At 37.4% G+C, this 17,024-nt stretch overlaps 2 long non-coding RNA genes and 1 pseudogene across 2 annotated transcripts; 1 reads left to right on the forward strand and 2 right to left on the reverse strand.

The window, feature by feature from the left end:
* Positions 1-1,678: 1,678 nt before the first annotated feature.
* Positions 1,679-7,065, reverse strand: LINC02550 (long intergenic non-protein coding RNA 2550). The gene is made up of 2 exons (NR_149131.1): positions 6,977-7,065; positions 1,679-2,058 (listed from the first exon to the last, which is right to left on the reverse strand). It is a non-coding gene; the product is annotated as a long intergenic non-protein coding RNA 2550 (long non-coding RNA).
* Positions 6,902-15,743, forward strand: LOC102723966 (uncharacterized). The gene is made up of 3 exons (XR_428993.4): positions 6,902-7,108; positions 7,982-8,063; positions 15,210-15,743. It is a non-coding gene; the product is annotated as an uncharacterized LOC102723966 (long non-coding RNA).
* RPS17P15 (ribosomal protein S17 pseudogene 15) lies at positions 15,315-15,642 on the reverse strand (annotated as a pseudogene).
* Positions 15,744-17,024: the final 1,281 nt, after the last annotated feature.

Here is a 17,024-nt window from a genome sequence, read left to right on the forward strand (position 1 = left end):
TTGACCAGGGTCCAGCTTCTGAAGTCACCCACATTCCCTGGCTGGTAACCCCCTTCATCTGCAAAGCCAATGAGCCAATGAGGCTTTCTCACACTTCTGATCTCTTTGACCTCTCTTTCTGCCTCTTGTCTCCTGCTCCTGCCTTCTTCTTCTGACTTATTCTCCTGCCTTGCTCTTCTGCTTCTAAGGATATATGTGATTACATTGGGCCTATCTGGATGATCCAAGATAATCCCTCCATTTCAAGGTCAGCTGATGAACAACCTTAGTTCCATCTGTAAAATCCCTTCATAGCAGTACTGAGATTAGTGTTCGACTGAATAACCAGGAGTAAGAATTTGGGGGGATGTCTTTAGAACTCTACCTACCACACTAAGAGTGAGCAAACCAAAGATAGTGCCCAAAATGATAGCTGGTCTTTATGAAGCCCCATCTTAGAAGTGACATCCATTGTTTTCGCTGTATTCTAATTGTTAGAAGCAAGTCAATAAGCCCAGTCCACACTCAAGGAGAGGGGAATACACAAGGCCTTGAATACTAGTCATCAGAGATCACTGGGGACCATATTAGAAGCCACCTACTACAGAAAGGAAATATCATTACATCTTACCATCTGGTTTGGCTATTAAAAGCATTTATGTGATCATAATAATACAAATGAAACATTAAGCTCAGCAAAATTATCATAACATTATACCAAGAGGGAACGGTGATAGCATAGAATAGAAAGGTGTTTGATAAAAGAAGCAAGAAGGAAGAAAGCTAAGTCCTCCTAGTCAATTGAGGGAAATCAATACAAAATACCTAAAAATAGCAAATCAAGAAGTAGTATTAAGTATGTTATTTAGAGACAGGAAGGTGAAATGTCAATCATGTAAAAAAGATGAAAGTGCCTCTGGAATGGGGAAATGTCAGCAGGGGGGTGTTGCTCATAACAGTGGCTGTTTTTTAAAATAAACCTTACAGAGTTCTTTGACTCTTTAAACCATGTATGCACACGACTTCTATTAAAATAATTGGAAAAAAACAAGAAAGGAGGGAGCAAAGGCTTTCCACAGAAAATTGTGAAATTATTTGCATGCAGTGAAAACAATGTAAAATATCTCTAGCTGAGATGGGAAACATTGGCCCAAGAAACACAAAATAGGATGCAGATAATGAAGACAGATGCAGTGAGACAATGCAGTGAAACAGCAGCTGTCTGTCCAGCTGCACATTTAAGCCAGCTGACCCACCCCACCCTGACAAGTGAGTGGCCAGCAAGGCCAGCCCAGAATCCACCACTCTTTGCTGCCCCCCTTGTTTTTGAGTCTGGCTCAGCTCCTTCCTGAGGCTGGGTTTTATTTCTACATATCAGCCTAGCTTCTAGCCTTCCAAATACTTTTGATGTTAATTTCACAGTTTTCAGTTATTTGAGATATACTTGAATCTGTTCCTAAGCCAAACTCATTTCCACCGTAGGACCTCCACCCTGGCTCTTCTGCAGGAATGCACTGTGGCTGGATCATCCTCTAGCAGCCTCGCCCTTGTTATTCATCTCATTCAAATGTTTCCTTCCAGAGGAGGCTCTCTCTGACCATCCAAATTAAATGTGCCCTCTTCCACAGCCCCACCACAATTTATCACATCACTCATCTTGTCTTATCCCTAGCATTTGTCAAAATGCAAAATTATCTTGTTCATTTACTTTTGCCCTCTTTATTTTATTAACCATGGTATCCCTGAAGCCTGTATTATAAGTGTGTGGCACATATCAGCTACCCAACAAATAACTGTTGAATAGAAAAATGGGATTAGGTAGTGTATTAGTTCATTTTTACTGCAATAATGCTGCATAACAAATCAACCTAAAACTTGAGATCTTAAAACAGCAGGCATTTCTTTCCTTGCCCATGGATCTACAGGTCAACTTGAGTTTGGGTGATCTTGGAAGAGCTTGGCTGGCTTAGGTTGGGTTTAGCTCCAGGCTGTGGGTTGTGTTCAGTTCCACCACCACGTGTTTCCTTGTGCTTCTCAAAGAAGAGGCTACCTGGGGTATGTTCTTCTCACAGGAGACCACTGGAAAACAAAGAGGCAAACAGAAGCATGTCATGCTTCTTGGAGCCTTGGCTGGGTCTGGCTATTACTTCCTTGCACTTTCCATTGGTCAAAGCGATCACATAACAAAGCCAAACATCAATGAGGTAGGAAAATATACTCTGACTACTATCATTTATGATTATGACACTAAATTTAAAACATATATAATATAGAGATAAAAATGTCCGTATCATTGCAGCTAATTAAACATTAAGTATGTAACAGAATATTAAAGCTGTAAGAATTTGATCTTATTCAAGCGCTTCATCTTTCAGATGACAAAACAGACCCAGAAAAATGGGAGTGAGAGAATACTACAGAGTTTATGGTAAAGGGGTGGACACGTAACCCTATTAAAGAGGAGTGAAGAATTAGGATGAATAATTTAACCTGATCTGATTGAATGAATAAATGAATTGGACTGAGGGAAATGAGCCAGCAGAGGAGAAATTAAAAGCACAAGAGAAAAAGCAAAGTCCTGAGAAAGGTAAGAGGGATGAGATGAAATGCACTGGTGGAATGTAGACCTTGGAAAGGAAATATCTTATCCAAATGCAGGAAAGAATGAGTAGGTGTGTGGACACACTAAGGAAGGAAAAATAGGAGTTGGAAGAGTTCAGGTCTGTGAGATAGAGTAACCACTTGAGGAACATACTCCGCAATAAAATGTCCAACAACTCACACTCAGGTATAACATGATTGGTCATGAGTTCCCAGATGCTAGAACTCATCGCCAACCAGCTGTCCTCACTAGCATTGCAGGAGGGTTTTACTGTCTATATTTACAGAGCACCAAAATGTACTCAACACAAAGTCAGTGAGCGTTAGGATCATTCCAAGAGTGTGACCTCAGTTTTCTCAGTGAAGTAGATGTGAGAGTCATTTGTTTAAAGTGAAGGTGGCAAGGGTTGTGTAGGTGGCTTGTGTCCACCACGATAAAGGTTTAGAATAGGGAACTGGGAAAGAAGTGACCAAAAGCACTTGAGGACCTGACCACCAACACCAACAGAGGGCTATTTGCACTAACATTAGACCATGAATGGGAGTGAGCAGTATCCATCTATGTGGTTGAGTGATTTCCTCCACTCAACCGTTTATAGAGTGTTTATTGTGGGCCATGAAAACCAGGTACAGTTCCTATTTCCAAGCAGATTATGGTCTAATCAATCCATGCCCAGAATGAGTTAATGACTAGAGAAAGGACTCATAATTTAGAATTAAAACTGAAAACTGAAACAGAGATTCATGCAAATGTAACCTTTCCATCTCATCTGTGTGTATCAAATGTCACTGTCATTTAATTTTCTAATAAACTGCAGACATATACGTGTTTAAATGCAAAGTTTAATGAAGTCGATAAAATACGAGCATAAAACAGTAGAATGTAAACTCCTTTCCTGTCCTTTACTGCCTAATTGAGAGATAAATGTCATTTACCTCAAGATAATATTTTCACAAAAGCACTTAGAAGAGTTTCAGCTCAGTATTCCAAAAGGATCACTGTTGGCCACTATTGTTTATGATTATAATAGTAAAATTTAAAATATACATATATATAGACAGAAACCTCCATATCATTGCTGCTGATTAAAGATTAAGTGTGCGTGTCATAGAATAAGAAAACTGAGAAGAACTTAGCCCTGGTCCAACTGCCTCATCTACACTTAAGAAAAAATACCTGAATAATTGAGGAAAGTTATTTTGCAAAGGGCATGCAACAAATTAGTGGCAGAACAGAAGTAAATCTCAGATCTCCTGATTCCCACCCCAGGGTCATTCTCCTGCAACAGGCTGTTTCCTTACCTATTCGTGGCTATCTCATTATACAGGGGTCCCAGGTTGTCAAGACAAGCAGCTCTGAATAGACTGTTATGAATACATTTACGTCTCACCCCCAACTATGTTTTTAATCAACTAGAACTTAGTTCTAGATTAGTATAAATATACATTCTTTGGTCCATTCTTTTGAAATAATATTGAACTTTACTAAGTTACTTACCGTTTTATCTCACATATTTTATCATTTTCTTCTGTATTTATTTCTCCTTGAATCAGAGAACTTCCCACAAGCATGTTTTCAAAGAGGATCTTCATGTAGTAAGCCTGAGGTCATGTATACCTGAGAATATCTTTATTACATCCTAATACTTATAATAGTTTACATGAATATATCAGAAATATAATTTTTTTTAGCTGGACAACTCCATTATCTTGCATCCAGTGTTGTCATTGAGAAGTCTAATGTCAGCATGATTCTTATTCTTTTTTTATTATTATACTTTAAGTTCTAGGGTACATGTGCACAACATTTGTTTGTTACATATGTATGCCTGTGCCATGTTGGTGTGCTACACCCATTAACTTGTCATTTACATTAGGTATATCTCCTAATGCTATCCACCATGGAATACTATGCAGCCTTAAAAAAGGATGAGTTCATGTCCTTTGTAGGGACATGGATGAAGCTGGAAACCATCATTCTGATTCTTATTCTTTTTTAAGTGATATGATACTTCCCGGTGGAAACTAGAATTTTCTGTTTGCTTTTTATGTACTTAATGTCTATAATGTTTCAGGTGTTCTAACCTGTTCGGCACCCAATGATTTCTCTCAACCTGAAATTCAAGCAAATTTTTGTTTATGCTTTTTCCAAATATTTCTTTTCTTCCAGTTATTTATTTTTTTTCCTTTCTACGGGCACCTTTGATTTGCATGGTGTCACTTCCATTCTATCCTCCATATCACTTGTTTTCTCTTTTATATTTCTAATATTTTTATTACATCTTGATGCTTTTTGAAGGAGTTTCTTAACCTGATCTTATAGCAAACTAATTGTTCAGCCATATTGTAATACATTCATTTATGGAGTTCTTATTTCAACAGCCATATTTTCCTTGCCCAATTTTGCCACTTGATTCTGCTTTTTTAATTCAATCAACAATATTCTTCTATATCTTTTTGAAAATATAAATTAGTAGTGAATGCTTGACTTATTAAGGCCATGAATTTCATTGCATGTGGTATAGCTTATTCACTTGGCAGTCTTTCTTAAAATTATTATTATTATGGTAACAACACTTAACATGAGATGTACTATCTTAACCAATCTTTAAGTGTATAAATACAATACTGTTGACCCTAGGTACAATGCTGATCAGCAGATCTCCAGAACTTACTCATCTTACATAATTGAAACTGAAACTATATACCTGTTGATTAGTAACTTCCCATTTCCCACTCCCACCACAACCTGGCAATCACCATTCCACTCTCTGATTCTACATGTTTGGCTGTTTTAGATACTTCATATAAGTGGAATCATGCAGTATTTGTTCTTCTATGACTGGCTTATTTTATTTAGCATAACATCTTCAAGGTTCATCCATGTGGCGTATTTCAGGATTTGGGTTTTTTTTTTAAGGCTGAATAATATTAGCTTTTTTTTTTTAAGGCTGGACAATAATTTTAAAAGATGTATGTCTATCCATACCTTTTTTGTAGTGTTTCCTGTGGGCTCATATTTCCCTGGTTGGTAATATGAAATGGGAGACACAGCCAAACTCTCATCCCTGGTTATCGTGCCTCTCCTAATATGCTTAAACAAGAAGGGGGCATGCCCCAAAGTGGAAGACCCTGGCTCTACAGCCTGACTCTGCCCATCATTATGTGCACAGCTCCTGCTCCCTGTCCCCAGTGTGAGGTTCCTCTGTTGATTTTAATTTACTAGCCCTCTAATGGGAAGTGGGGTGGAGTGATAAAATACCCAATACCACCACCAATTTGCTGTCTAACGGTTCCTCACCACAGTGAGCACCAGCATGGCCCTGAGGTTGCTGTGGATCCTGGCTGCACTGGGATAGAACTGATGGGGATTTGGGTTTGTTGTTGTTGTTGTTGTTTGTTTGCTTGTTTTTTGAGACGGAGTCTCGCTCTATCACCCAGGCTGGAGTGCAATGGCACGATCTCGGCTCACTGCAGCCTCCACCTTCTGGGTTCAAGCGATTCTCCTGCCTCAGCCTCCGGAGTAGCTGGGATTACAGGCATGCCACCATGCCCAGCTAATTTTTGTATTTTTAGTAGAGACAGGGTTTCGCCACGTTGGCCAGGCTGGTCTTGAACTCCTGACCTCAGGTGATCTGCCCACCCTGGCCTCCCATAGTGCTGGGATTACAGGTGTGAGCCCCCAGGCCCAGCCGGGATTTTTGGTTTTAATGTTTGTTTTTGTTTGGCTTTCTAGAAAAAATCCACTGGTGGAGGGACAAGCATAGGTCCTCAAATAATAGACTGGAAATGGAAAGAAAACCTAGCTCTATAACTCCTCCACTTTATCCTCAGATCCTGGTGCCTCTCCTACCACAGCTACTGTTTTCTCCCATATAAGGATACAGGCACTTTCTCTCTCCCCAGAGCCATCCCAATTTTTAATGTTAAATGCTCAAATCTATACACTTTCTTGTCCCTTCTATGGCATTTCTGCAATTGAGTTTGGGAGAAAGAATTAGAAGTAAACGTTTTTATATCTTTTTTTTTTTTTTTTTTTTTTTTACTTTAAGTGATTTCCTACAAAACGTATGCCATGTTTCCTGAATATGAACTTGGTTCCAAATTTTCTGAGTATTTTTAATTGCATCTGATATGACTTTTGTCTTTAAAAGCTCACATTTTTTTACTTCCATGTCTTTCCTGATGTTTGGCAAATTGCTATTTAACATTTTCTGTTATCTTAAAGTTTATTGTGTTTCAAAAGAGATGTCTAAACGTTGCAGAACTTTCTCCTTAGTTCAGCTAAAACCGGGCTCTTGTCACATGACCAGGAAAGATTAGGCTCGCGGACACACACAGAAGGGTGAGGAAAACGGAATTTACTGGGGGAAAAGGAAAAAGAAAAAACTCTCACCAAAGCAAGAGTCCTGCTAGCAGGTTTCCCGCCTCACAGATTGAAGCCCAGGTCGCCACACAGGAACAGGCTCCTCCCCGCTGCAAATGGCGTGAACTTCTGGAGGCCCCACCCCGTTCTCCCAGTGCAAAGGTGGGCGTTATTCAGAAAGAAACAGTCCGGAAGGGGCGGGCTTCATCCGGGACCAGAAGTCCGGTTTTTCAGCCTTCAGGCTGTTTTAGGCTTGAAGGCAGGGTTTCGCTGGGGACCCTTGGCTGCCTCCTGCCTCTGTCATAAGCATAAACCATAGATTTGGAGGAATGCATGATGAGTCAGAAAAGCCTTCCCATTCTGGGATCTAGTTGAGATTCTCTGTTGGGCTAGGAAGAGAGGGTCTGAGAGAAACAAAATTCCTGTAGAACTTGTGGGTCCCTTGCAAAAAGAAGCTTGGTGAAGAAATGCTAAACTCTCAAACAGAACTGATGAATATAAGAGGGGAACTCAGATCCCTGGGAGACACAGACTTCGGAGGTGAAAGTCTGGGTGTTGTGTCAGCAAAGACTGGCCCATAGCTGCCTCACAGAGTGTCCCTCGCTCTGGTGGAGTCTGAGAGCCACTGAGAAATCCTGGGCAGCCAAGATTGCCATGGAAATTGTCAGGGTCCTAGGTGGTCCCACAGAGTGCCTGGTGGCCTGGTGGCTTGACATGGACTGAGAGTTGCAGGTTCAATTCTTTGGAACCAGAAGGGTCGTAGAAGAAATGAGGAAATTCTAGGAACCTAAAAAACTGTTTTCAGTTAGAAACATGTGACAATTAGCAACCATAATAGACTAATTACAGACAATGGAATGTGAATGAGGATTACTCACAAATGTTGGTCTCTATAAAAGACAAGCCTTGGTACAGCATCACACTCCCATCCCCCGATTCTGGGGAGAAAGACAGGGCATCCCAAATCAACTGAAACTAAGCACTACAGTTTCAGTGGTATGAAGACTCACAATATAATTTTTTTTTCTGTTCTAGAAACTCACATTTCTTCTATCTCATTACCTGTGGTCAGAAATTACCTCATGTGGCTTCAACAGGGCATTCTGTACTAACCATGGTAAGCAATCTGCTCAGTCCCCAAAGCATAGGTTCATGTCTGCCACAAATAGAAAGCCCTTCCTTACACCTCACACAACTTCATCTTCTAATGCCTGAGTGTTGCAAGGGAGCTGGTAGCAGTCTCCCCTTCACTTGAATCCTAATGTAACCATGATTGAACAATCTGGACCATGTGAAAACTCTGCATTTATTTCTGTATAATCACCCATGTAACTATACTGGTCTTCTATATTATACCAAAATGAGAAGAACAAGTCTTGTTAAAAGATATAATTCAGTACAGAATCTAAAACCACCACAGAGTGATGCCTGTCAGTTTGACAAAGCATTTAAGCCCTTACTGGGTTTAATGGCAGGCAATGGCAAATCTCTTAAGGTTTGTAGCAGTGGCTGTCAAGGTGCACATGTTTTTGCATGTAAAGGTCATTTTATTTCTACCTTAACTATTATATAATAATTAACATTTTGTCACTTCCTTTATTTGACATTTTGCATATACTTTACATACATTAATTCATTTAACCTTTACAAAAATCTGTGAGCTAAGGACTATTATCTCCATTGACAACTCAGGAATCTAATGGCAATGAGCTCAAGGCAACAGAGGTATTGATGACCAACCCAGGTCTACAGGCTTCCAAAGCCTATTCTTAACCATTAAGCTATTCTATCATCCCAGTAGGTCTTTTCTCCCCAGTGCAAACTGTCCCAACAAATGTAATTAAAAAGAAAAATATCTGGTCATTTAGGGACACCAGCCATGAAAATGTATTTCTAATTCAGGAAGAGGAGGCGGGGGAGGGCACTCTCTACTAACCATGGTAGGCAATCTGTTCAGTCCCCAAAGCATGAAGTTTGATTTTTCTTTTTATCTGGCGTTTATGTTCAAGGGAATATAAATGTCAGGAATCAAGCATTCCCTCTGGATGGTGGAGTAATAAATAACTTTCATACCATTTTGCACAGATGCTGTGACTAAATTGAGATCAGGAAAGATATAGACAACTATAGCAGCAAACTGATGATGAATCTATTTTTAAAAGCAACTGTTAAATTAGAAAGATTTTTCAAAAAAAAAAGCTCAGAAGGAAATAATTTGGGCACAATTCTAAGAAATTCAAAGGAGATTCAAAGCTAGAATGAATGAACAATCCACTCAGCCCAAAAAGGGCTGAGGTAATCATTTCCCAGTTCTAAATATAATTTTGAATATTTTTGAGGCATGAGGCAAAGGAAAGTTTTATACCTTGGAAGCCTTAAAGTATTAATGGGAATAATAGTAAATATTTCTGAAATAATAAAAACCTTGTGCTCTAAATAAAATATAAAGGGGAGTATCATGTCTGTCTTTTGGGAAACATATCTAAAACCAACATATAAATATTCATCATAAGTTAACTCGATTTAATTCCTTTAGCAAAAATTTTGAACCACTCCAGCTCAGTGATAAAATTCTTGGATATTTTTCCTAAGGACTAACACAAAAATGTCAATAACAACAAATATTCAATGAAGCATTATTTTGTAATAGCAATATATTAGAAATAAAACCAGAAAAGGAAACTAATAATATAAAGGAAACAATTATTTATCAGGTATAATCTGGGTACTTTACTGATGTTATTGTACTTAATAGTAATAATCTAGATATACTTTTCCTAATGAGCAAATAAGTGCAAAGTAGTTAGATTACCAGTCAAAGATTAAACGGTTGGTTAATAAAGGAACAAAGTATAATCTAAACAACATCTAATAAATGGATGGTTAATTATATACACCAATTTAGTATTTTTTCACAAAGTCATTAAAACTAATAGTTCTGAAGACTGTAGAACAGAATGAACAATGCTTAAGATGTAATATTTAGTTGAATATGTACACACACATATACACACACGTAAATGTCTCTGTGCTATAATTAAATATGTAAAATTATATTTACAAATAGACAATGCATAGAACATGAAGACAGATGATATTTGTTATAGTAGTGGCATTATAAATGGCTTTCCTTAATTTTAAAATTCATTATTCAAGAAATACTTATTGAGAGCCTACATCAATGAACAAAAAGTCCCTGTCCTTGTGGAGATCATTTTATAGTAAGGGAGACAAATAATAAATGAATTAATAAATTAATATACTACAAGAAATCAATTAATGATAAATTCTATAAAGAAAAAAAGAAGCAGAGTGCAAGGATAAAAAGATATAGGGTGTGTATTTAGAAACCTTGGTCAAAGAAGGTCTTCCTGACAAGATATTTGCATAGTAAAGTAAGACTGAGTAAGCCACACAGATATATGGAAAAGCATCACAGGCAGGAGAAATAGCATGTGCAAAGGCCCTGGGGCTGAAATGGGATGCCAGATAGACAGTATAAAGATGGGGGGAGGTTCACGTAGAAAGTGAAAACAGGGTAAGAAAAGGGTCACAAAATTATGCCTATACTCTAATAATCCTGTTAAAAAGCACAGGAAAAAACACAGTAAAATAAAAAGTACAATATGTTGGTGATGAGTTATCTTGGTGTAATGTGATTTTTAAGAGTATTAATTCCTAAACCAGATTGTCTGGGTTCAGATCTCAGTTTTGTAACCTCGGAGAATTTGCATAGCCTTTCTGTGCCTCATCTGTAAAGCAAGGCTAATAATCATAGTACCTTTAGCATTGTTGAGAGGTATGGAAGGCAGAATAAGATCCCCATAATGTCCATATCCTAATCCCTGGAACCTGTATGTTACCTTACATAGCAAAGGAGATTTAAGTTTGCAGATGGAATTAAGGTTGCTAATCCGCTAACCTTAAAATAGGAAAATTATCTGAGGTTATTTAGCTGGGCCCACTATAATCAAAAGGATCCTTAAAAGTGAAAGAAGGAGAGAGAAAGGGGGAGTGAGAGAAAGAGATGTGATCACAGAAGCAATGTCTGGCTTTGGGGATGGAGAGAGGAGCCATGAGCCAAGAAACGTGGGCAGCCTCTTGAAGGTGAACAAGGTAAGGAAACATTCTTTCCTGGGGCCTCCAGTAGAAAAAGAAAAAACGCAGTCATGCTGACGCCTTGATTTTAGCCCAGTGAGACCACATTGGGCTTCTGAACTATAGAATTGTAAGATGATAAAGATGTGTTGTTGCAACCCACTAAATTTGTGGTAATTTAGCAGAGCAGTAACAGAAAAGTAATACAAGAAAATTAAGTGAGTTTTTGTGAGCAAAATATTTAGAATCATTCCTGGTGCACGGTGAGCATTCTATAAGCTGTTCTAATATTTAGATGGTGTTTTCTACCATGTTTTCCAATAAACAGTAAATATTTATTTGTTAAATTAAAAAAAGGGGAAAGACTACTTAAAAGGGGAAAACTTTATCATTAGTGTTAATAACTAATACATGAAAGAAAATTTTAATTGCAAAACTAAATTAATAGAAATCTAAAACAAAAATAATGAAACAGAAAAAAAAAACTGTTCTCTATATTAAAAATACCTATTGTTTTTAAGATATGTTCTTCAGTTGCTAACAAAATACTGACAAGTGGCTGGGACTGGAGTAGATTAAAAGAGGTTTTATTTTGGATGTGTGATTTATAGACTATGAGGAAAACCATGAATCCATTTAGAATCCAGATGTGGGTCAGCAATCTGAAGCATGGAGTCCAATAAGTTCCTTTACAGACAAGAATCATAAAAGCTTGGAATTTCACTCCTAGTAAAAGCCTCTAGGAATTTGTGAATTTCGTTTTCATTCCAACAGGAAAGTAACAAATCAAACTGTAGCAAGTCAATCGAGAGCACCCCCTCCCTTAATTCTTGGCTCCATCAGGTCTTCACGGCACTCAAAAATTTCAGTTCCATCCAAACACTTAGCAAGCATCTCCCATATGTATGGCCAGATCCTGTGTTAAGTAGCATTGAACTTAAATACAGTCAGTACATAATCTGTAACTTTTATGGCCAAAAAAATAGTCTCACTATTTTTAAAAATTGGAACATTTACTACTCTTGCTCATTTTTTATTCAAAAATATTTATTGACTGTCCTTCTGAACATATTAAGATATGAAATACTTTCAAATAAACTACATGGTTTCTCAAATAGTTTGTAGAAAGGGAACAGGAAACTTTGTAGCTTTTCTACTTTACTACTTTGGAATCACTTTTAGATATCTAATTATTTAGATGTTTGGCAAAAAAGTCAGAATATTTATAATTCCATAAGAATTATGTAACAAGATGTTTGTCAAGACGTTAGATTTTAAAGGAGTACATTTGCTTTCTTAATTTAATTTGTTTTTATTAAAATAATGCACAAAAAAGCAAATACTTGCCTCTTTCTCAATTCCAACTCCCCAGAATCAGCCACCTTCAATATTTCTGTCTGTTTCTTCTGGTGTTTACTTCCATATTTCTAAATCATTTATTTATATTTTTCCTTTATGATTTTAAAAATTTAATTGAGATCTATTAATTTCTAATATATAAGATGAGAATCTGACTCTTACAACCCTGCCCCTCGCCCTTTTACACACAAATAAATGTATTAACTCACCTTTTCCTAGTCTTCTAAAATTACAACATCACCGTTTTTGGTTTAATCAATGTTTACTGTTCACATTTTATCAATATGTAGAAATAATGTGAGTAAATCAATATAGTGTATTGTAGCTTCATTTTCTTTTTTCTATAACATCTTGCTATCTAGAATTAATAATTTCCACATTTAGTCAAATTGTTTGGTTTACTATGTAACTGTCACTCATTCCCTAACTCTGACAGAGCTGAGTTCTAGCACAACTGAAAGCCCATCAGTTTTGCTTTTTACATTTTTTTCTTGCAAACATCCCTGCTGGAGCCTTCTTTCCTCATGCTCTGAACAGGACCAGTTGCTCTGGAGGTCTGCCGCACCACATTTGTCCTAGACTTTTCTTCCCAACATCCTGGAAATTGCCTTTATCTTGTTTCTATGTTAAAATCTCTGTTTCCAAGACACCTTGACTTCTTCTCTCTTGGAAGATGTCATAACTTTAGGGAAGCACAGTTTTCAGGAGCTTCTTGAGAAGAATCCTTGGGACCTAAAATTGTTAAGAACTTGCAGGTCCAAAAACATCTTTCTACCTTCATGTTTGATTGTTAATTTGGCTGGATATAAAATTCTGATTTATAAATCCATTGTTTTCTAGTTTCTTATATTGTTTGCTGGAGTCTAATCTTACCCTGATTCCCAATCATTTGTATGTAATGATCCCTCCCTCTATCCCTCTATCCCTCCAACCCAGACCCCTGGAGGTTTTTAGATTTTTCCTTTATTTCAGGTGTCCTAAAATTTTTATGGTGATATGCCTTGTTTTAGTTTTCGTTTTTGTTTTTCATCTCCATTTTCTGGTCAATCTTTCAGCCTTTTCTTTGAAACTTAATTCTCATAGTTCTGGGAAATATTTTTAGAAAGGATCCTTAATAATATTTTTTCTTTATTTCTTCTGGTCCCTCTCTTTGGAACTTCTGTTAACTTCTATTATCATATCTTTTGGCAGTCTTCAACAGATCCTTTAATTTTCTTGTCTTTTCTCATCACTTTTGGGAGATATATTTTGAAATATTTTTTCAACTTTATTTTTCAAGCTGTCCACTAAATTTTTAGTTTCTGCTATCACTTTTTAATATCCAAGATCTTTCTTTTTAAATCAATCCATTCTTTTTTATGGGCATGTTTTCTCATTTTGTGTTTCTGAGCATATTTCAAAGCTTCATCGCTTTTCTTTTTTTCTGTTTGTTCAGTGCATTGTTAGAGTCTTTCCTCAAACATTTGATGATTTGTGGATACCTGATTGGAAATTAAGTAGCTCTGTGTGGGACTTACTAACTGATAGGCTTCACTGCAAGATGGGCAGGTATGGACACAGTTGTCTTTTTGAGGGACCATAAAAGTAGTCTCCATAGCACTTCCTCCTTGTGCAAGTTATGCTTCCCAAATGAAAATCTTCCAGGTTCATTGCTTAGGATAAAGGAAATGGTTTTACAAGTTTCACTGTTAGTGTTCAGGAAGCTGAGTGGGGTTGGGTTGGAGATCTCATTTCCATTTGCATATTTACATTTAACATTCTCTGTTTCCAGTAAAGGGACTCCTCTAACTTACCTGCAGGTGTGTGCAGCTTCTCCAATTTGAGGACCTGTGTGCTTTTATCTAGAGAATGTGTTTACTAGCTTGTGTTTACTGTCTAGAGAATGTGATTCATTCTCTCTAGAGTGAACCTCAAATCCTTGGCCAGTGTATGGGGGAACCGTGGCCCCAGGAAAGAAGATCTGGGGATTTAATCACCAATATATATAAATATTTTCAACCAATCCATCTTTTTAAGCCCCATCCTGAGCCTCCTACTTTTCCAGATACCCATGGTCCCAAATTCCTGTGCCTTCCTCAAGTTCTGCAGGATCAATCGGTTTGCTTTCATTGGCTTTTCATACTACAGGCTTGGATCTCTGATCTTTCAGGCCACTTAAGTCAGTTACTTTTAGTTCTTCCAAGTTTCTACTTCCAAATTTAAAAAAAATTATTTGTTACAAGTTTATGCTTTTATGTCCTTGTTAATTTATGCCTCTTAAACTTTCTTTTATTGTCATTCTAGTGAGACTTGGGGGATGAAGCAGAAGAAAACATGTATGTTTATTCTGCCATGTTTATCTGAAACAATCTCTTTTATTTTATAAAATAATTCAATATTCTTTATTATTTTCATAATAATATTTAGAGATTTTGTAAATATGAAGCATTTTCTTAAGTAACTATATAGTGATTGCAAGTAGAGGCATCCTTAGACGCCCGTATTTTTAATTTTCAATATGTAGTAGTTAAAAGTGTAAAAACTGGAAATTAACAGACATAGAATTGAATTATGGTATAGCCACTTACTGTTTGTGTTATCTGAGGCAAGTTATTTAACTTCTCTAGGGTTTTGCTCCATTTTCTATAAATTGGGACTAATAATGACACCTATCACATAGTAAAAATTAAATGAGATAATTCATGTAAACCTTCCAGAACATAGTAAGATGCCAGATGATCATTTTAAATATCCTATAACAACGTTCTGCTTTTACAGGGCAAAGATACTAACTCTTGCTTCTTTTTCTTTTTCTTTTTTTCTCCAGGTTTATTGAAAATGTTACAACATTTCAGAAAGATTCAAACAGCTCCATGTGGTGGATAGTCCAATCTGCAGGTCACTCAGCCTACAGTTGGGATGAATTTCCCAAAGTCCAAACCTTCAGCATTTCTCCAGTATCAAGATCTACTTCAGTGATCTCCTGATCCAAGCCTGAGACCTCAGGAGCATAATTATCTCTCCTTTCTCTCTTCTTCTCCTGCAACCTGATGGAAATACCTCTTACTGGGCCCCTGTGAATCTGCTTCTTCAGATGCGTGACTCAGCCTGCTATCTTGTTGCAGAGCTTCTTGCTGGGGATAATGACAGTCTTCACCCACTTGCTTGTTCATGTGGAAATCATTACCGGGGTGCATGTAATACTTTTCTATGATGACCCAGGCTACCTTCTTCACTGTTTTGGTGTGAAGGCTGCCCATCTTGGCAGGTCCTTGGTAAAAGAGGCCAAACTCTTTATACTTAAAAATTTACTTTGCTCATCTTACAGCCTTTTACATCTAAATATAGTTTCATCAAGTAACATTCTTACAATTATATTCATTTTTTATTAACCCTAATTTTGAACAGCAAATTCACTTTACTAGCATACTGAGGCAATCAATGACATAATTTGGATTTTGCAGTGATTAAATAGAGGATTGGAAGAACATTAAGAGGGGAAAGAGCAAATCAGTAAATTTTAACCTTAGGAGGTAGAATGCTCAGCAAGAGGCCTGGGATATGTAGCTTTCAGGGTTCAGTTATGAATTCAATTATGCACCCCATAATTCTTCATCTAAATCATTAGCTTACAGTCTCAATTGTCATCAGACACAGCAGGCATTTGGAACTTAGGTGCTTTGGGGAGAAGAGCAGACATGGTCTTTCCATTTGGCCAGCATCAGAATCCCTTCCTTTACTTAGGGAATTCCCAAGGCATAAGACAGAACCTATTTCTTGTTGTAGAAGCTAAAATTCCCTGACACTATTATACTTTACCCAGGCTGGCTTGCAAGTAAGGCAAAGGCACATGTCCTAGGCTCTACCAAATAGAGACACACACCCCAGTCTTTGAATTGAGCAATAAGGATGGAAAACTAAACAAAACAAAATACCACAAACAACTGTTGCTGGTGGCAACAATAGTAAGGATGACCAAGTCTGTAAAGTTTCAGTGGCAACCATGCCAGTGCTAGTACCCAGCACCCAGTGTCCAGCAGTATAGACAGGGCCAGCTGCAGCATTCATGCTCTGTGGAAGCAACGATGTTGTCCCTACAAGAATAGATGGATGATGTGACTAGCCAGGGCATTTCTCCTGTCTGCACAGCTTCAAGCTAGTTCTCCATCATTACTACTGATTCCATCCGCTTCACAGCATCCTTTCCCCACCACAATTTCTGATTTATTATCTGTTAGATTTGGAAACTGATCACATGAAACTGCAAAAATATCAAGTGTCTAAAATTTTTACATAAAACATGAATTACCTCTAGTTCCAAACTCATGAATTTATTAGTGTCCCTTTCAATCAAAAATAAAAATAAATTCTTTTTAGGAAAGAAAGCAGCTGCCATATCCCATTCTCAGAACACATCATTTAATTATCTTGGTCATAAACATTTCCAAGGTGAGAATTTATATTTCCCTCCCGTAGTTTCTGATGATCAAAAACCCCTTGTGTTCTTTATTGAAAGGGTTTGGTCTTGCGGCTGTTGGTTTGTCCCATCCAACGTTCATCATCTTCAGCTTTGCTTCTAAAGACATTTCCTCTGGTTCATTAAAAGCTGCTGCTTCTGAACACAGTTCTGGAATGATAGAAC

The sequence above is a fragment of the Homo sapiens genome, chromosome 11 (assembly GCF_000001405.40).
Source record: "Homo sapiens chromosome 11, GRCh38.p14 Primary Assembly".
NCBI lineage: Eukaryota > Metazoa > Chordata > Mammalia > Primates > Hominidae > Homo > Homo sapiens.